The sequence below is a fragment of the Homo sapiens genome, chromosome 3 (assembly GCF_000001405.40).
Source record: "Homo sapiens chromosome 3, GRCh38.p14 Primary Assembly".
In the NCBI taxonomy this organism is placed as follows: Eukaryota; Metazoa; Chordata; class Mammalia; order Primates; family Hominidae; genus Homo; species Homo sapiens.
Genome location: NC_000003.12, coordinates 17,221,559 through 17,246,728, shown reverse-complemented (window position 1 = coordinate 17,246,728; position 25,170 = coordinate 17,221,559). Strand labels below are relative to the sequence as shown.

Below are 25,170 nucleotides of genomic sequence, written 5' to 3'. Positions count from 1 at the left end.
GTGTGTAAAATGAGGTAAAGGTTGAGGTTCATCTTTTTCAAGATAGATACCCAGCTGTGTAGCAATATTTGTTAAAAAGTCTTTTCTTTCTCTACTGAATTAAATTGGATCATTGGTTGAAAATCAACTGGCCATATATGTGTGATCCATTTCCACACTCTGTTTTTTCTCTGGTAACACAGTGGCTTAATCATATAACTTTATAGCAAGTCTTGATTTTAAGTAGGCTGAGTCCTCCAACTTTGTTCTTTTTTATTACTTTCACTATTCTAGTTCCTTTGCATTTTCATATAAATTTTACAATCAACTTTCCAATTTCTATAAAAATTGTTGGGATTTTGATTGGAGTTACATTTAATATGTATATCAATTTAGAAAGAACTGATAACTTCAACATTATTGAATTATCTAATCCATGAACATGGGCTATCTCATCCTTTAGTTAGGTCATCTTTAACTTCTCAGCAGTGTTTTATAGTTTTTTTAATTAAGAAAAAATATATTCCTTTGTTTTTCTACATATAATCTGTTCCTTTCTATGCCTGCATTTTAAAATGTGACTGTTTCATTTTGCAGACTCAAATATCTTTATATTTTATTGGCTTCTGTACCCCTACCTTCAAACCATAACAGTTAATTCTTAGTATATGTTTACTGCAGCTGTATTTTTTTTCAATTATGAAGACATATAGTGATTCTCAAAGTGGGAAAAGAGAGGTGAAGAGGGCAAAAACTTCCCAAAGTGTGAACATTTCAGGATTATACTCTCTTCCCTTTCTCATGTGTTAGTCTAGGCCAGAAAATCCCTAATGCTCTAGAGATGCTGCTCGTGTGAACCATGGTTATTTATGGGAATGATTTCATATCCCTCAGATACAGGTGAGAAAATAATTCAAATAATAATTCAAATAGTTCAAATAAATAATTCAAATAATAATTCAAATAGTTCAAAACTACCACTCTCAAAATAGAAATCTCAGTTTCTTTTCCTATATGTATATCTTGAGAAGTTTAATGATTTGATGCATCATGATTAATACATAATAGGTTATTATTTGTTATGTTAGTTTAATCAACATTATAAACTGTATGTTGCCCCAATTACGTAAGCCCCATAGTCTAGCTTACGTCTACTCTTGTCACCAGTGCCAACCTTTTTATTCCTAACAAACACTACTCCTTTTGCTGCTCATCATATAGACGAAAGTTTGCCTGCTGCACATAAAAGAATTAATCTTTATAGCTGAAAGGAAACATGTTTCCCTTGAAATTCAACTCTAAAGGAGTAAGTACTAACAAGCTAACCTTCATCATTTAGTTTTAATAAAGATCTTTAAGAATCTAGAGTTCCTTGAGATGAGCAGTGAGTTCACTTCCTAAAATAACAAACCTTACAGTATGGCAAGCAAATTAAAATTAGATATAGAAGTCTTTCATTGAAGTAAATTTGAAACACTGAACTTCAAAGTTACAGAATTAAGAACTTTAGAAACATTCCTTTTACAGAATTCAAAACCTTTAGCTTACAGATTTTTTGAGATCAGGTCTTGCTCTGTTGCCTAGACAGGAACGCACTGGTGTGATCACAGCTCACTGCAGCCTCGACCTCCCAGGCTCAAGCAGTTCTCCCACCTTAGCCCCTCAAGTAGCTGGGACTACAGGTGCACACCACCATGGCTGGCTTTTTTTTTTTTTTTTTTTTTTTTGTAGAGACAGGGTCTCACTATATCGCCCAGGCTGGTCTTGAACTCCTGGGCTTAAACAGTTGTCCTTCCTCGGCCTTCCAAAGTACTGGGATTACAGGACTGAGCCACCACACCTGGCCTCTAACTTACAGAATTTTTAAATAGAAGTATATCCTGATTATTACCTTAGATGTTAGAATCATCTTGAAAGTATTATGTTGCAACTCTGATGAATGTTTTAAGTTTCCAAATAGATTGATATCTATAAGCATGGAAGAAATAAATATAAACCATAATCCACTCAGCAGATCAATAATGACAGAGTTAGGAGTATACAGGGGTGCAAAGAGAATATTGTTTCTGTCTCCAAACCAGAGATACATAGATATATGTTTAGTGGCATCAATTTATTTTTTCCAAGTATCCCACTGCATTAAATGTTTTTATGGTAGTAAAAAGTATAGATAGAACAATTTGAGAAAATGATAGAAAGAAAATGAGACTATGAAAGAAAGAGAAGGGAAAAGAATAGAAAAGAAAGATTTTGGAAGGAAGATAGGAGGAAGGAAGGGCAGAAGGAATGGAATGGAAACTGAAGGTGAAACTAAGGACACAGGGAAAATAGGCACCTTCATTTGGAGATGGGGTTTGACTGGCATTTCTCAAGGTCCTATACTAGTATACAAGCCTCTTATTTGGTCCTTTTGTCTGAGTGATGTGATAAATGTGACGATAGATGCCATTTGGCACTGCAGATCATAAACTCTTAGAGTTGGAAAGGGGCTTTCATTTAATACTGTCTCTCAGGCATGCCAGGACTAGAACTAGGCTGTGTATCTAAAGATTATTTTTCAATCTCTACTTGTACAGTTCCAGGATTGGAGCCCTTACTTTTGTAAATGAAGCCTGTTTTATCACTAGATAAGATTTCCTATGTCATAGCTTTTGTAACTCACTTTTTTAACTTTTGTAACTCATCTCATTTCTAAGCCACACCAAAAAAGGGCTGCTTTCCTTCATGGCATCCCTCACTATATTGTATGTAGGACTTACTCCTCGGGTTTTGCAGTCATTCCTCTTCCAGCATAGTTTTCAGCTTCTCTACCATTCCACTCCATTTATAAACACAACTCAAATCTTTCAGAAATTAATGCATTACCAAAGCTGATTGCCAAAGTTATACAGCATCTTCTGCAGTGTGAGGACTCATCTAGTATTAATGCAGTCCAAGAATCATAATTTTCTTCAGTGTCATCACTGTGAGCTCATATTAGTCTTGTCAGCCAAACCAAACCCAATCAAAACATTAATGTTTGGGAGTTCTGAATTTTTTTTTTAATTTAAACTCATGTTATCCATGCCTTCTTGTTCTGTATGTAATGTGCAATTATAAAAAGTTTTAAAATAGTTACATGAGCTTTTATTTATCTTTGTTAAATTTTGTTTAATCTTTCATGCTAGCCTGTTGAGATTATTTTAAATTGCAAATTTTTTAGTCTTTTTTTCATTTTTGCTCTTACTACTGTTTTTAATTTGTACACAATAATTGTACACATTTTGGAGGTAGAGTGTGCTATATCATACATGTATACAATATGCAATGATCAAATCAGAATAATTAGCGTATCTGTCACCTCAAACATTTGTCATTTACTTTATGTTGAAAACATTAAAAAATTTGATTCTTCTATTTGATATATTGGGTATCTCTTTAGCCTTTGATCGAAATTCAATAAGCACATATTTTCATTCTTCAGGTCACAAAATAGTATAATTTTCAATCTAAAAAGTACCTAAAATATCATAAAATTCAGCTCCCTTATTTTAGGATAAGGAAACTTGGGTCCAGACAGGATAAATAACTCTCTCATGGTTACACAACTCATTAACAGAAGATTATGACCGTCCTAAAAGATGGATTGGTAACAAGTCTGTGACCCAAGTCTGAGACACATATAATCACCAGTAACACTTGGTGGGTGCTAGAATATTGAACAGTATGCTTGGGGTACAGTTGTTCCACTATATCTGAACACGCATTATTTCCATTATTATTTCCACAGGTACTGACATACATTAACAAAATCTAACAGACCTTTCACACTATCAGATGAGAAGTAAAGTTGCCTTGGAATGACTTTTTAGTGAACCATACTGTCTACTTGTAATAAAAGATATTCATTTCAAAGTAATTAGTAAAAATATTTATATATATATATCGGTTTATTTTCTAAATTGTGCTTTCCATAGTCGTTTTGAAAAATCAGAACATTTTCCCACTTCCATTCCTCCAATATTTCTGTTTTATTCAATAAATCTAAATAAGTAATATATTTAAACTCAAACAAACCCAGCCATCTGAAATTTTTAATTGTACCTAAATAACAAATGAGCCAACAAGGCTATTTAGAAAATGAGAGAAAACTTTCATGCTATTGTTAAAACCAAGCATATGTGTAGCTTTAAATGCTTTTATCGGAAAAGAGGGAGAATAAAGGATGAATAAGTGAATGAATGAACGGAAGTATTCAACCTTGGAAAACACAAGGAAAAGAAATAACAAAAATATATATAAATTAGAATATAGAGAAAAATAATTTGAAATGAATTGAAGTGATTCTTTGACAAAAGTATAGCTAAGCATCTAACAAGATTTTATTGCAGAAAAAGTGAAATAAATATTACATATTTAATATCAAATCTAAAAAATAAACATAGAGGAAGAAAGGAGATAAACTAGAATTTTGTAAATATTTAGATCCAGGAGAGAAAAGGTTGTGGAGAATTTTTATAGAGGTGATAATGTGATAATGGTTTTTTAAAAGCTTCAGAAAGTTTATAGAAATGTAATAAGAACAGGCCATGACTGGAAACTACGAAGGCATTGGAGGCCCTAGAAGCTCTTTCAGTAGAGTGCGGGTCAGAAAGCCAGGCTGCAAGACATCAAGTGGGCAATAAAAATCTAGGAAGAGATAGCTAAAATCACCTATTTTCATTCACAGCGTAGCCTGGAATTTCTTCACCTGTCTGTGAGGAACCAACCTCCCAGAATAGAAATTAATGCAAAACTTACTTTTTAAATATGTTATATTTGATTCTTTTAAGGTTGGAATATCAGATACTGTGTTGGTCTTAAGAACATTTTATGAGATAATTTGGGGTTTTTTTGGGTTTTTTTTAAACATTTATATCCTAGTATACTTGCAACTTTGTCCTGTAGATGCCCATGCAGTATGATGGCATGAATTAACACAACACAGAAATTGAGATCAGTTGACTGTGTTCTCTGCTAACTTTGTATAGTAATGCTTCTCACTAGAAGAGAATCCAGTGTTAAGAAACTGAACATAAGCTCAACAGTGAATTCAGGTCAGAATTGGGTTCTGGTACAGGTATTTTGAGGATATTCTTGGATCTTCAGAAAGTTCACCTCTTGGTACTGACTTAACTTGTTAAATGAGGTTGTGCCAAAAGTTAAGTTCCTGGCAGAATTTTAAAATGATCTCTCCTAAACAGTACTATTTTTAGTAACAGTAGATAGACAATAGTAATGAAAGACTTCAATTAACACAAAATTGGTTACTCATTAGATTTGATATTCAATGTCTTGTTAACTCCAAATTCCTCTTGCTGTTTATTTCAACACTGTTAACACATTGCACTCCATCTTTAATCCAGTCTAATCCCTGCTGTCCATCAGCTCTCTGACAACTACTTTAATTTTCATTAATTTAGCACGCATGACTTAATCATACACATCACAGCCATTAATAATTGTTGGAAGTTGTTTAATATTTCACAGGAAGAATTCTGCTGCTCATATTTCAGTTCTAAATTAGATAACTTTGGTATAAAAACTGTTATGCCTAGAAAAACAGACAAGCTCTGGACAGATTGCTTTCTCTGTATGGCTTACAATTGCTTATATCCGGAAGACACATAATCACCTTCAATTGTTGTTTTGAAAAAAAAATTCTTCTAGAAACTGTGGGTACCAGATGAGGGAGAACATGGTTAAAAACACACAAAAAAATGTTCAACAAAGGAAAACAGTGCTCATCCCCTTTTAAGAGCTATTCAGATGAAAAATTGCTCTGCATAAACTTGATCTATATGTTTTTCATGGTTATTAGTAGTAATGAAGATGCATTAACCGTATTCTCTTGATAATGCTCTAGCAGTTTCTTAGTACTTTTATCAACATATAAATTTTACAACCGGCAATGTGGGAATTTGACTAGTACTTTTTTTGTATAAAAAAGGGTAACAACATTATAACTTCTTCATATCTGGGAATTATGAATCCTGACTTGCAAACAAGCAAAACTAAAATGCAACAGAACTTCAGTCCATGATAGCTTTTCTTTATACTATCACTCACAGGAAATGGGAATGTATGCAGGCTGCTGAGTGGAATATAATGCCAGAGGTGAATGCCTAGTTAATCCAGAATTTATGAGTTTTTTCATTTCATTCATTCTTTTTTCTCAATAAACATATATTGAGTGCCTTCTCTGTTGCCAGCCTATAGTAAATGTAAATTAAGAATGCTCTACTTCACTAGGAAGCACCTAAAAAATGAAAGTAAGTGGTGCATAATCACTTTATATCCTTATCTCCAGTAGGAAACGTTATTTTTAATAATTTTTGGAAGGACATTTACATAGCTCAGTTCTTTAAAGATGAAACTTGATGCCAAAGGAACCATTTGAAATTTTTTTCACACTTCATTGAGTTATAATGAATCGATCTTTCTTTTATAAAGCTGAATTTCATATTTTAAATTTGATTTGTCCTACCTCCAAAGCAATGTAAGTCTCTAATACCTAGCCCATAACATTAGCTAGTAGCATTAGAGAAAACTTTATGGAAGGTAGAAGTCTAGTGTTCTTTCCTTTTTATTATAGAACTATGGATCTGTTCTGTTTTACAGCAACATGTAGTAATGAAAGGATATAGCTGTCATATAAAAGGTAGAATTACCATTTAAGTGCTGACAGCTAGATCTGAGAGAAGGAAATTATAGTAAAAATCAAGTTAATTAAAATCAAATAAGTAGATCTCTTAAAGTTGATTTTCAATTTTCCATTTTTATGAAAAAAGCAAAATGTGAGCTATTTCATTTCTATTAATGATTTGGGCAATAAAAACACAAACTTCAATATTGTCATGGAGCTGGACTCCCCTTTACAACTAAAATAATCTGTAATCATAACTGGTCTTCAAGATAATAGCCCTGAGATACTGCAAGATTCTGAGTCATTTGGGAATTGTTCATCTAACAAATGTTAACTTGGTGCCCTCTATTTGCCAGGCACAGTTATAATACAGGTGCTGGCCAAGAGACAAAATATGAGAGAGAAAGTAGTGGTTAAGAGAGTTGATAGCTGCTGAGAGGTAGAGTCAAATAAGAATAGACCTTTGGAACTGCAATGTGAAGTCATTGGTGACCTTGAGGAATAGCTTTAGGGCAATGGCAAATAGGCCACAGCTGGAGCTTGGTGGACCAAAGACTGAGGAAGCAGAAGTGGCACCTTAATATACCTTGAAAAAACATGTTATAAGTAGAGGAAGAAATGGGATGGTAACTTGAAAGGAACAAGAGTTCAGTAGAGAATTTAGTGTACATATACATATACTCACCATGGTTGTATGCTAATGGAAATGATACAGTAAAGAAGGAGAAAATGATGATGCAGGAGAGGAGGATGCAGGAATAACAACCTCTGAAAGTCAGAGGAAATGGGATTCAAAGCACAAATGGAGAGGCTGGTCTTCCATTGTGGCAGGTGAAAAGACGGACTATGGGTAGATGCTGCTACCATTTAACAAATATTATTAATAAAGTACCTATGATGTACCAGACAATGGCAATATAGTAGTTAACAAAAGAGACAAAAATCCTTGCCCTCATGAAACTTGTATTTGAATGGGGATTGGAAGAAGTGAACAAATGATAACCAAATAAATAAATGAAATATATAGTATGTCAGATGATGAAAAGTGCTATCGAGAAAAATAAACCAGGGAAGTGGAGAAGGAGGATATGGAGCACTGGGGTAGAGAATAAGGACATAACTTTTAGGAATTTACTTCATGACTGTCAGACATATATATTTTCAAAATCATATTAAATTTGACCTAGTACCCATGTGCCAGGGCTGGTAAGAAATCTATTCTTAGCTTCATTTCATAGATGCCCCCTTCTGTGAGGACCCCATGACTTGCCTAGCCTGTCCTTCATAGTCCAGTCGCAGGTTTTAAGCATATATTTATTTATGTGATTATTTGATTAATATACTTCTTCTCTACTAGACTAGAAGTTCCAGGAAGGGAACTGTGTCTATTTTGGGGCAGTTATGTCCTCATAACCCAGCAGGGTTAGCTCTATTTGTTGAATGAATGAATGAAATGTAAATAAGACTGTTTTCCATAAGCTATGTTTTTAAGAAACTCATTATTTATTCTGTAGTAACTTTAAATTTTTCACTTCTCACTTTATATAGCTGGTCTAGTAAATGACCTTTTTCAAAGCAGACAAGGTGTGCTTTTATACCAATTAATTATGTGAAATAGAATCATCCTCTAATGTAAATAATGCTTCTCCATTTCTTTTTTTAACAGGACCAATGCCAAAGGTGCTCCCCTGAATATAAATAAGGTCTCTAATAGCCTGATTAATTTTGGAAGAAAGTTGATTTCCCCAGCAATGGCTCCAGGCAGTGCAGGTGGCCCTGTACCTGGAGGCAACAGCAGTAGCTCCTCCTCTGTTGTAATTCCTACCAGGACCTCAGCAGAGGCCCCAAGCCATCACTTGCAACAGCAACAGCAGCAGCAGAGGCTGATGAAATCAGAAAGCATGCCTGTGCAATTGAACAAAGGTAGGAAAAAATACTAGTAAATCTAAAGAAAACATTCATGGTGTAGCCTGGGATTTCTTCACCTGCCTGTGAGGAACCAATCTCCTAGAATAGAAATTAATGCAAAACTTACTTTTTAAATATGTTATATAAAGTTGGAATACTAGATACCGTGTTGGTCTTAAGAATATTTTATGAGGTAATTTTTTTTTTAACATTTATATCCTAGTATACTTGCAACTTTGTCCTGTAGATGCCCATACAGTATGATGGCATGAATTAACACAACACAGAAATTGAGATCAGTTGACTGTGTTCTCTGCTAACTTTGTATAGTAATGCTTCTCACTAGAAAGGAATCCAAAATGAGAAGTTCCGGTACCATGGGCTTCACTAGTCACAGCATTCGTTGGTGCATTACAGTTGTTTTGAGAAAGTGGGCCACTAGGCTTGCAGTCTCTCACCCAGCTGCTTCACTTCTAAGGAATACAAACTAGAATCTTAAGCAGTGGGGAGGGAGAAACTAAAAGCAGCCAAAGTAAGTGTATGAGTCCATAAAATAAAAGTTAGAACCACAGAATGTTACAGCAGAGGAAACCTGGGAGATCATCCAATCCATATCTCTCAATGGGTAAGTGAGGGCACTGCTGTTGGTAGCACATTTTCTACTGGGACTCAGGTAAGCTAATTTCTGTGTTAGGGCCTTTCCAGAGCTTCACCTCCCTCATGTTTTGTATTCATAAGAGAGCACTTCAGGTTCTTACTCTGAACCTTTGCATTTTTATTTTTCACCTATTTTTGAAGAGTCATAATGTATTAGGTCCCCCTTTTCAAAAGAAATTGGAAACAGCTACATTTATTTTTAGTACTAGGACTCTGCTAACTGTACTCTAGAAGCAAGAAGTTGTATCTTGATGGCAAAAAATACTTAAAAAGCAATCCTAAGACCTCACAAGCAGTTTGGGGCCACTTAGTGTCAGAGCAAACATCCTGACCCAAGTGTCATTCATGTCTTAAAGGGATCCCTCTGTTATATCAGTTTTCAATAATTAGTGTTGACAGTAACATGAGTAATATTGTCAGTAAGAAGATTTTAAAAGTATGTTCCATATACTCTGTTTAAGGAAATTACATTCAAAATTAGTTTCTGATTTTACATAGTGCCATTTAAATCGGTAAACTTAAGTTAAATGGACTTTCTTTCCCAATGATACAAATGTTGAGTATTATTCAATGAGTGTGTGTACACACACATGCACACACCCATGCGTGTCTGTATTCCTCTATTGGTTACATCATGTTATTCTTCTATTTAATTTTTATTTGCCTATGTAAAATACTAGATTTTATATAATTCATATTTAAATTTTTGTGAGAATATTCAAATTACCATGCATAAGAATATATCGGGCATGGTGGTTCACGCATGTAATCCCAGCACTTTGGGAGGCCGAGGTAGATCACGAGGTCAAGAGATGGAGACCATCCTGGCCAACATGGTGAAACCCCGTGTCTACTAAAAATACAAAAATTAGCTGGGCATGGTGGTGCATGCCGGTAGTCCCAGCTACTCAGGAGACTGAGGCAGGAGAATCATTTGAACCTAGGAGGCGGAGGTTGCAGTGAGCCAAGATCGTGCCACTGCACTCCAGCCTGGCAACAGAGCCAGACTCCATCTCAAAAAAAAAAAAAAATCTCGTTGAAAATTACATTATTTTCTTTTTAACGTAGAGCTGTCACACATTTTTTTAAAAAAAGAGACCAAAGCATTAGCATATTGTAAATGTATTTTAATGCCAGGAGATATACCCATTTCCAGAATGGAAATGAATGTTATTTTACATATTTCTTAATTGTACTGTTTTATTGTTCTAAACAAATACGATTTCAATATTGCTTTGATAACAAGCTGTAGTCAGTTGTAATTCTAACTGATGGCAGGCAAATGAGTCAGAGAATCTCTTAATGTTGTAGCTTAAATTTTCTGAGGAACTAAGCCAAATGACTAGAAATATAAAGTTTTGTCTCCAAGGAAATGTCAAGTATTAATATCACAGTAAGTGAGAAAGGAAGTGCATGGAGATGGAACAATTGATGAAAACCAAGTCCCCAGTTATAAGGAGACAACAGAGCACTTAAGCAAAGTATTTGGAACATGATTATCACTAGGGCATTTTAACTGATCCCTGTGCTGAAAGGAAGTAGCCTTGTTTGGCAACCCTTCTATATTTGTACTTGTGTTTTGTTCTTCTCATGTCAATCTACCAAAAAAAAAAAACAAAAATTTGTTTACCTTCAGATTAATGATAAATGTTCCTGCTAATGCTCCTTCCCTCACAAAGGTATGGATAAAACAAAAGGCAAAGAGAACGGTTTGTGGAAGTAGACGATAGAAGATAGTGTAGTTTGCTGCTCTTCTCTATTCATCCATTGATGAGCCCTAAGCAACACCCTGAAGCTCTCTGACCCTCTTCTTTCCTCACCCTGAAATAAGAGATTTGGGCTAATCCCTGGAGAGTCTCCCACCTCTAAAAATCTATGGTTGTTTTGGTAGAATATGTATTAACTCTACAGTGAAAAATACTTCTCCAACATTGGTTCTTTATGCTGGTATTTCCCACATGTATCCTGCTGTGCTGTCACACTGAAAGCTGCAAGCATATCACCTGGTCCCATAGATCAGTGAACACAATATTCAGCCTGTCAGGAGGCTTGTGTTGTGAAGTGATTTCTCTCTCAGAACAGAGTCATCTACTTAGTGCCTTTGAGGAAAGATAATGTAATAGTCTTTTTAGTGTACTCTGCTGGAAAATTTGAAAGTTATGTTGAAAAATGGTTGTTTATAAAGATGAAACTGTTTATGGTTTTCATAATCAGTTAACTTTCAATTACTTGTGCTTGTATGCTTAGATAGGGGGACAGTTGTGTTTGTAATCCAAACTCACATGTGTTGCTTGAAGTACATTCTGTAGTTTGTCTTTGTGTTGGGGTAGGATAGTGAAGGAGCAGCCCAGATGTTCCCTGTAATTGTTTTGGTGATATTTAATGTTAAAATGAGTTGTCAGTCTCTATACATTAATAAGTGATCTAGAAGCAGCAGAGTAAAACAGGTAGCAGGCACAGAATTGAAAATCTCCTTCAAAGATACAGAAAGTAGGCACGCCATTATCAGTGAATTTAGAGTACATATACTATGAAAATCTGGGGCCCATTTCCACTAAAAGCTGTTTATCACTTGTTTGTGGTATGTTCCTATTTATAGATTTTATTTCAATTATAGGAGACTAAATGTGTGTACTGTTAATTGATGATGATGGTATAATTACAACTTAACAGTTTCCGGATTAGCTGGCCATGCTGTAAGTCATAGTGGTCAGAACACTGAGGATATGTCATTTAACTCAAAAGTTGATTTTTTTTACTACTGTATATATTATATAAAAGCTCAAGGGGAAACAAGTCAATTAATCATAAATGATCATGCATAGAAAATATGATGCTTTTTTAAAATGCTTTTTTCTTTAGCCTGTTAGTCTGAAAATAGCATAGGCCTTCAGATGGTGATATATCCAGAGAATGATTCTGTTGACAGTGACTGTGCTTAGTGTTGAACTTTGTCATCCAGGAAGGAAATCAAAGAACCAAAAAGTCTTCCTTCCAAATGTTAGTGCACCTCAGGTTCTTCATGAGATTTCCTGTTATGCTCCTTTTCCTTTCTTATGTTCTTAAAATGCACTTGGTTTTTTTTTTTTCCTGTTTCCTTTGTCTATATTTTAAATTGCTTTTTTAATTTGAACATGTCATTATTTTAAGCACTTACTATAAGTCCAATTTGTAAATGAAATCTTGCCTACAATAAGTATATCAAGTGAAGGGTATGCAGTTCACAGGTTTATTTTTACATGTTGACATTTATAAGTACATGTGGTAACTTAAATCTTTTCATTACTTAATGTGAAATTAGAACTTATTGAGGACTTTATCTTATCACTGAAGAAGTTGGTTTCAAGTTAGTTAAAAATAAATTTTGTCTGATATAGGAGGAAATCAATTTCAAAAGAATGCCTATTTTTAAATAAATGACATATAACTTACTTTTGGATGAAAGGGAAAATATAAAATCACACTAATATTTGTAGCATCATGAAATATGCTCAGCAAAATCTTTTGATTGCTGAAGTTTCCTATACTCTAGTTGAAACTTGTTTGTGTTTTCTTTAAGAAAAACAAACACAAAACATTTCTAGAAAACATGCTCTTAAAGATTATTTTCTTTGAAAATATTTTATATTTTTCTAAGCTTGTGCATTATTTTCTTTTGTACTATATTTTTAGTAATTTGATTAAAGTATTAGAACATTCAGTATAAAAGAAAAGTGAAGTTGATTATTTCCTTTTTATGAAATCTAATTATTTTTTCTTATGAAATCCAGGCGATGTAGTTACAGGAAGCGATGCTCAGGTTTCTGTTCCTGTCCAGACTCTAACTGACCTCCAAGGTACAGTTACCATAACAACATAGTGTTTCTTTTTCTTTGCCTACAGTATTATCATTGCCTACTCCAAAACTCCATTTTTCTTTTTGCCCACCCTCCATTCATACTGTTTTCAATTCACTACCATTGTTCAGCCACTGAGTGGCACTATTGTTAAGAACAAAAGTCCCCTCTCATGTCATACCTTGGTGATGCCGAATATGGCTGTGATGTGGGTTTTCTATTAGGTGTGCACAAGCCTCTTTGCAAAATATGATTCACCCTGTATTTTGTGGTTATTATAACATAGTATACTTTGTGTGCCAGCTCACACTGAGGTGTTCTTTTTGTTACACTGGTGCTCTGTGACAGTATTTGACCAATTAGTTCTGAAAATAGACATCTTATGTGCTACGATTAGCCAGAAATACTTACATTTTGCCTGAAATAATTACAACCTGATTTTGAAATGTTTTTAAGTATTGCCTTTGAATTACGCATTATGTTAACACAATTAAAGTACAGTGTAGCAAATCTTCATTTATGGTAACTGGCAATGGTTTTAAAAAAAGAATGTTTAAATATCATATCCATTTGTTCAAAATATAGAAAATATAGTTTTTAAATAAATACAAAAAGTGATCATCTACCTCCTATGCAATTTTAAAACATATAAATACTTAAAGTGGCTGCATTAATCTTTTATTATGCAGTCTTTTAGATGAAATATGCGATAGAGAGGATTTCTGTGTTAAATGGAAGCCTAGAGTAACTTTAAGAATCTTCTATTCAAATTCAGACTAAAATGATAGCAGTATTAATTAAAATCCATACCATGTTTTTCTTAATTTAAAATACCACATAATATAGTGATGCTAGTAGTATTAAAATACTGTTTTAATAATGATATGTCCTCATATTATCCATTTTTTTAGGGGGGGTGGAACAGAAAAGAATGGGTTGTGATTAAGAGATTGATGTATTGGGTTAACTTAAAAAACAAAAACCCACCACATTGTGGCAATAGAGGAGTAAGCTTTCACTTCTATATATAGTTCTGTGTCTCACAGGTATAGTTTCTGGAGGTATTCTGGTAATTGAACCAGATGAACTTCAAGGGCTTTTCTAGCTCAGGGATTCCATGAAGAGCTGTTCACTCTTGCTGTCTGTTAAATGATCTACATAATAGAAGGGTATAATAGCATGGACAAGAGGAAAGGCAGATAATGTCTACATGATTTCTCTTTAGCTTTGCACTGAGATGAATGTTAATGTGATCATCTGATATGGAGAGAATTTACAAGACTTAAATTTGTTTTCTAAAATTAAATTCTGAGCCCCACAGACAACTTTTTAACATGTGTGTTGTTGTCCCAACATTAATTGCTACAGAGTAGATCTTTGGCTTCTCTGCAAGACATAGGATATGGAGCCCAATTTATACCTATGGAAAGAAAAGCTAAGAGTTGGCTTGCTTATTCTGACTTCTGCTTCTATGCTATTAATAAATCCAGTTTTTTTCCTACAAACCAGAGCCACAGGAGTAACGTAACTGTTTAACTAGAACTTCAAAGAGGGAGGTTATATTGTTTTGTTCAAATACCTCGTGTTATATAAGTAGAATTATCTCATTTGTTTATTCAACAAGTATTTATTGAGTGCCTGCTGCTGTGTCAAGCTCTGTTTTCACTGGTCCCTTGGCTTTCCTTACAGCTTTACCTGGTTGGTTGGGCATTACCTTTGCTTTAGGTGACCCAGTTAAGCCTACATAGTCGGGAACCAGCTCTTTTACTAGATACCCTATTCAGAATCACCTCTGCCTCCCATACCCTAGCAGAGATTGTATCAGTCTGATAAGGAAAGTTCCAGCTACTTTAATAGATGTGAATCACAAATAAACAGCTTTTAGTCTGTGGTGATGATTTTGACAATGATAGACAATGAGAGTACACCTACCTGATTTGGGGAAGTCACTTTTTGTCTTCCTCAACATATTCCCTGAAGAGTACCAAGAAGCAAGGGGAAGTAGAAGTAAACCAAAATAGTGGTAGCAGAAAAAAAAATTCTATCTATGCTTAATATAATCAGTGTCAAGGAATTAAACTACTTAGATTTTCCCAAGTGTCTTTTTTCAAAGCAATGAAGTAAATTTCAAGAAATAAAGTAAGTATCAATACTTTTGATGATTCCTTGATTATAGATAGTCTTTTTTTAATGAAATTTTATGTCTGTATCTTTGACTTTTAACACAGCAGTTATATGGGCTTTTATTTTTAAGAAAAAACCTGAATATAAGGTGAGATTCCATAATTTAGATCAATAAGTAATTTTTAGAGAATTATTCAAAAATTTCATTTTATATCTTGCAGTGTAGGTTGCAATCACACACCAAAAAAAAGCCACAGCAGACTTTGTTTATCAAAGACTTAACTCAGTGAGGTTCTTCAAAATTAGTTTTAGAAATTGCATACTTACCCCCGGAAACCTTTGTCAAGAGATATTTATGAATTTATTCACAAATCAAAAAGCTTTAAACACAGGTACACACACAAGACATATGTTATTTTTAAAGAGAATCTGGAATTTGTAACAACAGAAGTACAGTCAGCCCCCTGTATCCATGGGTTTCACATCTCTGGATTCAGCCAACTACAGGTCAAAAATATTCAGAAAAAAAATGAGTCTCTACTGAACATGTACAGACATTTTTCTTATAACTCCCTAGACAATATGGTATAACCACCATTTACGTAGCATTTACATTGTATTAGGTATTATAAATAATTCAGAGATGACTTAAAGTATAAAGGAGGATATGCGTAGGTTATTTAAAAATAGTACTACCATTTTATATAAGAGACTATAGCATCCTTGGATTTTGGTATCCACAGCGGTCCTGAAACCAATCTCCCATGGATACTGAGAGATGACTAGATTTAGGTATTAACATAAAATGGACCATTAGGAAAGAATTTTAGATTTTTTAAAATAATTTCCATAGGCATCTTTAAAATTTATACTTGTATATATACATTTGTGTTATGGATGTAAATATGCATATACATACGCACAGATATCTATAACATCAGATTATTTTAAATATAAAAAGGTTAAAAAAAAACTTCCTGTCCAGGTAACCACTGTTGATATTCTTAAGGTAAAACTAAAATATGTGACATTAGATGATTCCAATTAATTAAAGGTACTACATGAAAAATGGGAGTAGGGGAGAATCTCCATTTTCTCCTCCCACCTTTCTGCCAGCCCATTTCCCCAAGGGTAACCATTGTTAAGTTTCTTATGATTTCTTCCAGGAGAAAAAAATATATATTAAATTGAGGCATAATGTGGGAGTCACATTAATGTGGTAAGAGCTCATTTGTTTGGAGGTGACTTTCTCTCTGGACCATCAAGAAGAAAGCACTGACAAAAATGTCCCAGTGTAAATGAAAAGCAACAAGTTGGTAGAACAAGGAGAGGGATGTCAAGTCAACCAGAGTAGGACAGAATAATGACAAGAAAAAGAGACAGCTTCCACTCACAAGAGTGAGGGAAGATACCAAAAAAAACAAAAAATGGTCCTCATAGATGGCACTATATTGATTGGCTGCTCTGGTTATTGTTGAGATGTGATAGACCTGAAGCACAACAAGTAGTTCCATTATGTTCAGTATAATCATTTTAAGGCAGAGAAATATATGTAAAATGAATTTTGGGAAACATCAGTTAGCTAGAAAATGCATTTTTGTGGAACATCTATTCCAAAAGACATTGAATAAATGAGTTGTTTTTGGACTGAAAACAAGATCAGAATTTGCCCTTTACGTTCAAAAGGCCTCATTCCATTTTGCTTTAATCTAATTTTAGGTCACATTTACATCAGCCCACTTGGCACAACCCTTATGAGATGGGGAGGGTGGTACAGTTTTGTCTAGCACGGGCTCTGGAGTCAAGCCTGGGTTTGAATTCAGGCTCCATCACTGCCTTGCTGGATGACCTGGGGAAGTTACTTAACCTCTTATTTGTAAAGAGAGAATAAGAGCAGCTACTTCAAGGGTTGTTGCTGGACATCATCACAGCACCTGTTGCATAGTGAGGGCTCTAGGGTGCTACCTGCTCAGGTAGTGGTGATGATAGCACCATTATGTGCTTTCCTCAAATACCTCTCTGAATCTCAGAATCAAATAATGAAGGAGCTCATTCCACACATCTATCTTTTCTTAATTATTATTTCTGATATTCTAAAGACACATGTTTGCATGCAGGTACCCAATCCAACAGCGTTTGACTTTTGTGGTCAAGCTAGAGAATGTCTATTCCAGGGGCTTCAAGTACAACCTGTGTCTGTTCACTCTTGTGACAGCAAGATGCATGTCTTTCATTAGTAGACATTAGCCTTTTTGCTATCTGTCACTCAAGTCTGCAGGAAACAAACTGTTACTATATAGGGACCAGATGCCTCATTGTCTTGGTCACTATATAAAGTCAAGGTTATCCCCTTTCTGTGGCCACAGAACAGGGGTTCCCAGGTTTTTCCCTTTCTGCTTATCTAGGTTATACGTTCCCAGCAAGTCCCCCCGTAGACCTCCTGAACATTTTGCCTTTGGGTGTCCAGTGTCCACCTTCCTCAGATGACCTCAGGTGTACTGGGGTTCTGCCTGTCTATTTAGTAAAATGCCCACCCCCTTTTCTTATTTCCTATCGAATTTGGTAATAGAAAATCCATGAAAATATTATTCATGGGACATGGTAGGAGCTTAATAAGCATTTTTCCTTCCTCTTTCCTTCTCTCTCAGCCATTTTGCAGTCAGGAATCTCCACTGATGCCTATGAAGCTCATTCAGTCATTTTAGGCTCTTGACAAGTTGCCTCCAATGACATAGAGCACACAGGGCACAGTACTTTTATTGAGTGTTTCAGAGAGGGAAAGAGAATGAAGGAAGGACATAAGATAGCTAGACACAGCTGTGTCTCATCCGAACAGTAACTTTGTGCAACTTACAAAAAAAAAAAAAAAGATAACTTCTCTGCAGATGTAGCTCACACCAGGGCACATGACTTAATAAGCAGACCATGGCCTGGATTTCAGTTGCTCTGCCAGGCAGTCTTATGTGATGCATATATGATGGTTCTATACTTAGTGCCAGTTAGTTGAAGTCTGTGGGAAATCATTGAGAAGTGCAGCCAGTGTCCTACCAGGAGGGGTTTCAATGATCCTATCAAGAGAGAACCTGTGAATCCACAATCCAGAGTACTGCATTTTAAACTATGTGCTCTAGATTTGGGAGCCATCTCTATGCCTTCCACTAGACATGGTTTATGTCTACGGAGAGCATATGCTAGACACCACACTAAACCCTTTACATTATCATTTAGGACACACAGCCACTTGTAGATGAGAACTATGGCCAGTGGAGGGTCAGTGACTTGTTCAAGGCCGTACAACTAGGTATCAACCCAGTTCAGACTCAATCCTAGCTGTGTCTGACCCACCAGATAGTGGCTTGGGGAATTCTACCCTGTAAACATCTCTCAAATCTACCACCACAGCCTCAGTTGAAGGCCATAATCTCTTGCCTGGACCAACGCAACAGATGGTCCACTCAACCAAGCCCTTATAATCCTCACTCAATTTTCTGGCCTAAAATCTGTAGTAACTGCCATCAACCACCAATGAAATAAAGGCCAGACCCCTTAACATGAGAATAAGGAGCTCTTCTTGATCTGTCAGACCCTTGATCTGGCCTCATCTTCCCACTATCCTCCACTCCCCAAGACTGGATGATCAAGAGGGAAACTAAGCTCATGTTTAGGGTACCAGCAACTTAGTTTTTTTCTTAAAAAAAAAAAAAAAAACTTTTATTTTAGGTTCAGTGGTACATGTGCAGGCTTGTTATATAGGTAAACGTGTGGCATGGGGGTTTGCTAAACAGATTATTTCATCACCCAGGTACTAAGCCTAGTACCTAATAGTTTTTTTTTATTCTCTCCCTCCTCCCACCCTCCACATTCAAGTAAGCCCCAGTGTCTGTTGTTCTCCTCTTTGTGTCCACGTGTTCTCATCATTAGCTCTCACTTATAAGTGAGAACATGTGGTATTTAGTTTTCTGTTCCTGTGTTAGTTTGCTAAAGATAATGGCCCCCAGCTCCATCTATGTTCCTACAAAGAACATGATGTTCTTTTGTATGGTTGTATAGAATTCCATGGTGTATAATGGGGCACCTTCAACTTTAGAAAAAATTTGATAATTGATCCTCCCCCAAAAAAACATTGAAATAATCATCAAATTTTTTAGAAAGCACTCTGTTGAACTTAATCTTTCCTTTTACTTTGATATTGATATCATTTTCAATTACATATTGATGGCAGGGAGCACCAAAGGTTTTAATCAGGCCCTGATTAAGCTAGATGTTCCTAGTACAATGCCTTTGAAAATACTGTGTTCTCCACTAGAGAGGACCCTCCCTGACCCACCACGACCATTTCCTCTTGAGTTTTAAGATCTAGCTCACACTCTTAATTGTCTGAGACAAGATTGGACACTCCCCCTTTTGCGCACACAAAGTGCTGTTGTTTGTACTTCAGTGTTCGCTTTTGCTACCTAGGGTTGTAGGTTAGTGTGTATACAAGTCTGTATTCCCTGTATGGCTATTTTGGGAGTTTCTTAAGAGCTTCTGTTATGTTCATACTTCCCTCCCCAGTGCTAAACAGAAATTTCTTTAGGCATTTCAAAAGATCACTCTGCATAGGGCTCATTCCCTGATGTTTGGTCACGAATGAAAGACTACATACATGCATTAATACATGTACACCCTAGATGGCTTAAGAATGAGCCTATATTTAATGTATTTAAGAATGTCTTACAATCTAAAATAATTTTAAATAAATGTCATGGGTCAGAAATTCTGAAGACCAAACTGTGAGACAGATTCATGGTTAAGACATTTATTGGGCAGCATCCTTGAGATCAGTACCTGGGGAGTGAAAGAAGCAACACTGGCAGGGAGAGAGCTAAACCGACCGCTTTGCAGTTGCTGCTGGAACCCTCTGGGGCTGGGGTAGTCCTCTAGAGTTGTCCACCTTGAGGCAAGGGGGCCAGCTTTTACTTGTCAACTCAAACCAGTCACTGGATTGGAGTTAATTCCCAGGTAAGGGGCATGACCTTGGGCAAGGAAGCTCTCTTCAGTTGCGGGCAGTTTCCAGAGAAGAACTCAGGGGAGCCATCAACAGCCAGCATTTCCAGCAGCTGGGGGAAATAAGTGCCTTGGACCTGAAGAGGGAATTGGGCAGGGCCCTACAGCAGCGTATTTTAGAATGTGCCCCTAAGAATAGGCTTTAAATTTTCGTGCAACAAAAATGTTTCATGCTGTTCCTCTCTGTCAAAAAAAAAAAAAAAAGGTATGTAGAGAACTTTGGAACCAGTATGTAGCTTATGGGTTACAAGCTTGCTGAGAATACTGACCCCTCAGCTCAGGAGCTGTCCAGGGGAAGCCTGGATGAGCCCACATCCATTTACCCCAGTGTGCTATACAAATGTGATCAGATTCTGTGCATACCAGATACGAAAAAGGCAGAGAAGTCTGAGAGTGCATCCTTTTGTCTTGAGACAAGACTACTCCAGGTACCTGGGCTTTTCCTATGTATCTCCAGAGGAAATACAGTTGTCCCTCAGTATCTGTGGGGGATTGGTTCCAGGACCCCTGCGGATACCAAAATCCACATATGCTCAAGTCTCTTATATAAAATGGTATAGGGTTTTCATATAACCTATGCACATTTTCCTCTATACTTCATCTCTAGATTACCTATAATACCAAATACGATGTAAATGCTATGTTATACTGGGTTTGTTGTTGTTGTTGTTGAGACAGGGTCCCACTCTGTTGCCCAGACTGGAGTACAGTGGTGCAATCATGGCACACTGCAGCCTCTACCTCCTGGGCTCAAGTAATTGTCCCTCTTCAGCTTCCTGAGTAGGTGGGACCACAGGTGTGTGCCATCACACCTGGCTACTTTTTCATTTTTATTGTAGAAATGAGTGGACTACAGGCACGCACCACTACTCTGTCTCACAGTTTGGTTCTCACTATGTTGCCCAGGTTGGTCTCAAACTCCTGGGCTCAGGCAATCCTCCAGTCTCGGCCTCCCAGAGTGCTGAAATTACAGGTGGGAGACACTGCACCCAGCCTGTTATACTGTATTTTTATTTGTACTATTTGTGTTGTACTGTTTGGTTGGTGTTTGTTTTTTGTTTTTTTTTTTTTTTTTGAGACCGAGTCTCACTCTTATCGCCCAGACTGGAGTGCAGTGATGCACTCCCAGCTCACTGCAACCTCCACCTCCCAGGTTCAAGTGATTCTCGTGCCTCAGCCTCCTGAATAGCTGGGATTACAGGCATGCGCCACCATGCCCAGCTAATTTTTGTATTTTTAATAGAGACGGGGTTTCACCATGTTGGCCAGGCTGGTCTCTAACTCCTGACCTCAAGTGATCTGCCTGCCTCGGCCTCCCAAAGTGCTGGGATTACAGGCGTGAGCCACCGCGTCCGGCCTGTTATTTTATATGTATATTTTTGTATTTTTGATCTGTTGGTTAAATATCCAGGTGTGGAACATGGACGGTAGACTGTGCTCTCCATCATCCCTTTGGGAACATGTTCTAGTGACTCCATTTTCTTAAGGGTCTGAATGTTTGTGTTCCCAGAGGGCACAAAAATATGTTAGTAAGCTAATTTTTATAATTGAGGAGAAACATATGTTTTTAATGTGAGATGTGGGCCAGGTTCCTTATTAATACTACCACCAATTTGAAATTTCATAGTTCACAGATAAGTTTTGATAAGAGCTGATCTTAGTATTACCACTGAAAAAGGAAGTTTACTAAGCAGGGTAATAGCTGCAAAAGAAACCTCTGGGTGTTGTTGCCCCTCAAGGGAACAAATGCTTTCAAATTCTTTCTGGATGTTTAATTATTCTCATACAGTAAAGAATTGATAAGCTAACTTATTAAAGCAGGTATTCTAAAGATTTCTCCCAGACATATCATTACCCTATTTTGTTACAATAGTCACAAAATATAATAACCTTCATGTATGAAAAATTTGACTGTTCGTTAGTTTATACCCTTGCTGTCTAACATGGTATCCCCTAGCCACATGTAGCCACTGAGCTCTTGAAATGTATGCTGTGAGTAAAAAATATGCACTGCATTTTGAAGACTTAGTATGAAAAAATGAATGTAAAATTTGTCAATAATTTTTTATTTTGTCTTCATGTCAGGCTGATAATAGATTATTAAAATTAATTTTATCTTTCTTTACTTTTTAAGTGTGAATACTAAAATATTAGAAATTGCATGTGTGGCTCACATTATATTTCTGTTGATCAGCATTGGTGTTTATAATTATTTTCAGATATTCCAGATTGAACATCAGCAAACATTTATGGTAGCTCCACAATGTGCAGGCACTGTGCTAGCTTTTTTCCCAGCAGGTGAAACTGGTAATGACCACACTTCCTGCCCTTAGTGAAATTTGTCCATTGTAATATAAGCAGGAACACTAGTAATTGAATACAAGAAGCCTGACCATCAGATATTTTCTGTTCCTAGGAAAAGCCATTCACAAAATATATGTATCCTAAAAATTGGATAGAAAGGCCTATTTCCAAAACTTTTTTTGTCATTTTGAAATAATAATTCCTTGGAGTCATTCTGCAGGATTCAGAAATTTAAATTTAATTATATATATTGGCATAGTCTTTTTTTCTTTGTTTGTTTGTTTTGTTTTGTTTTGTTTTGTTTTGTTTTTTTGAGACAGAGTCTTGCTCTGTTGTTACCCAGGCTGGAAGGCAGTGGTGCGATCTCAGCTCACTGCAACCTCTGCCTCCAGGGTTCTCCTGCTTCTTCCCAAGTAGCTGGGACTACAGGGTTCAAGTGATTCTCCTGACTCTGCTCGAGTAGCTGGGACTACAGGCACGCACCACCATGCCCAGCTAATTTATATATTTTTTGTAGAGATGGGGTTTCGCCATGTCAGCCAAGCTGGTCATGAACTTCTGACCTCAGGTGATCCACCAGCCTTGGCCTCCCAAAGTGTTGGGATTACAGGTGTGAGCCACCGCACCCCGCCAGCGTAGTCTTTTAAGTTTGGACAAATCTGGGTTTAACTTACGATGCTTCTAGTGGTATTTATAACTGTGTTCTTGAGCAAGTGAATTAAAGCATCCAAGCCTCCATTTTCTCATACATAACCATCTCACAATGTCATTAGGATTAAATGAAATAATATATGTAAAGGTCCAGATATATACATGGACAAGCATTTTGCAAATATCACATTGCTGAAGTGTATTCTAATTTTCTGACTTTTTTGCGGGGGGAATAGGCAAACTAGGGAAATATGTATGTAGAGATGGTTGGAAACAAAAATTAATAGTACCCAGCTACGATATATATAAAATCTAGAATCAAAGAAAAGATTTTTGGGTCTTAATATAATTTCAACATGAAAGCAATTGATTTATACAAACCTGGAAAGCTTCTGAAGATTTTTGTTTTATTATATTGTAATTTCTTTTGAATGGAAAAACTTTTCAACAGATTTTGATAGAATTTTACAGGCAAATTTCATATAATTAGATTTGATATATAATGCCTTCCCCCCTTCAGAAAATATTCAAGACAACTAAATGTTGTAAGATTTAATAGCTATAACTGCTTACGATGGTTTTTTTCATTTTGGAAGAAAATGAAAAAAAGTTATAATGGTCCCCAAAATGCTAACTTTTTCTAGGAGTATAAAAAAATTTAATGCTTCTACCTGAAATTTTAGATTAACTCTGAAATTGAACTGTAATGTCAAATGTTGAGAGTCTAGAGATCATAAGTAGAGTATAATATCACAGGAGTAATAAAGAGAATTTCCCAGAGCTGAAGAAAGATACTGGCCTAGAGATAGAAAAAAAAAAATCCCATAAGCAGGATGAAAGTAAAAATGACACACCCTAGGAACCCCATAAAAGATTTACAAAACTTCAAGGAAACTTCCAGAGAGAACAAACAGAAAGTTTGTTTATAAGATAATCATCAGATAGACATCAGATTTCTCATTGGTAAAACCGAAGGCCGGAAGACATTTAAGTTTGTTTTCAAAGTTCTGAGGAAAAGTTGTTTTGAACTAGTATCTTATTCTCAGCCAAGCTAACATTCAAATGGGAAGAAAAAAAATGGACATTTGGGGACATGTAAGAATTTAGGTCTATCAACAGACCTGCTACCCTCCCCGCTCCCAAATACTTATTTATTTTATACACACACATATCCCATCACTTGTAAAGGTAAAATCATTCTTCTAAAGAACTGTTGAACTAATAAGGAAATGTTTAAAAATTACCAGTGTAGAAGTTCATGATAATGATAGTGCCAATTACCAAAACCCTGAAAGACAGAGATAAAAGGCCACTCAGAAGAAAAGAAATTATTAGAAAACAAGAAAGACTGTAAAATATCTAAACATACAACTCAGGAAGATAGAAAGTGAACATCAGAATACAACTAAAGTAAGTAAAGGTATGAATAAAGATAAAAGAAAAGATGAACAGCACATAATAAAACAGATTACATGAGTGAAACCAAAAGGTAGTTCTTTAAAAACAGTGAAGTAATCCAACATTCAGTAAGTCCGATCAAGAATAAATGAGAGAAAAATACTAACACATTCAAAATAAGAATTATGAAAGAACTGAAGATACAGAAGAAGGATAAGTTGCTGTAAGAGACTACTGTATACAACTTTATAAGTTGAAAATGTAGAGAAGTTTTCTCTTGCTGACTTAAAAATTATCACAAACTTAGTGATGTAAACAATACAAATTTATTTAACATTTCTCTAGGTCAAAAGTCTGACACAGGTTTCTCTAGGCTAAAGTCAAGGTTTCAGGAGGCTCTGAGGAAGAATCTGTTTCCTTGTTTATTTGCTATGTTGGCAGAATTCAGTTCCTTTTACCTATAGGACCAAGGTCCTCATTCCCCTACTGTCTGTTAACTGAGGCCCATTCCCAGCTTCTGGAAGATGACATCTTCCTTGGTTTATGGCCCCATTTCTCCATCCTTAAGGCCAGCAACACCAGGTCAAGCCCTTCTCATGTTTG

At 35.9% G+C, this 25,170-nt stretch overlaps 1 protein-coding gene across 62 annotated transcripts in view, besides 3 other annotated features; it reads left to right on the top strand.

The window, feature by feature from the left end:
• Positions 1–25,170, top strand: part of TBC1D5 (TBC1 domain family member 5) — a 585,470-nt gene that overhangs the window by 495,903 nt on the left and 64,397 nt on the right. For 40 of the 62 annotated variants that reach the window (XM_047449296.1, XM_047449314.1, XM_047449291.1 and 37 more), the window contains one exon: positions 8,310–8,566. In XM_047449296.1, coding sequence (XP_047305252.1) covers positions 8,310–8,566 — 257 coding nt within the window. Of the gene's footprint in view, positions 1–8,309; positions 8,567–12,978; positions 13,045–25,170 lie in introns of all 62 variants that reach the window. The other 22 variants (XM_011534283.4, XM_047449286.1, XM_017007556.2 and 19 more) reach the window with 1 other exon arrangement.
• Positions 12,985–13,054: an enhancer, noted in NCBI's record as "active region_19570". NCBI's record gives its function as "activates an Ori minimal core promoter by ATAC-STARR-seq in GM12878 lymphoblastoid cells {active_cell/tissue: GM12878}" and the evidence as "EXISTENCE:reporter gene assay evidence [ECO:0000049][PMID:35858748]".
• Positions 14,054–14,123: an enhancer, noted in NCBI's record as "active region_19569". NCBI's record gives its function as "activates an Ori minimal core promoter by ATAC-STARR-seq in GM12878 lymphoblastoid cells {active_cell/tissue: GM12878}" and the evidence as "EXISTENCE:reporter gene assay evidence [ECO:0000049][PMID:35858748]".
• Positions 14,498–14,792: an enhancer, noted in NCBI's record as "tiled region #10783; HepG2 Activating DNase matched - State 8:EnhW". NCBI's record gives its function as "activates a minimal TATA promoter and a strong SV40 promoter by Sharpr-MPRA in HepG2 cells {active_cell/tissue: HepG2}" and the evidence as "EXISTENCE:reporter gene assay evidence [ECO:0000049][PMID:27701403]".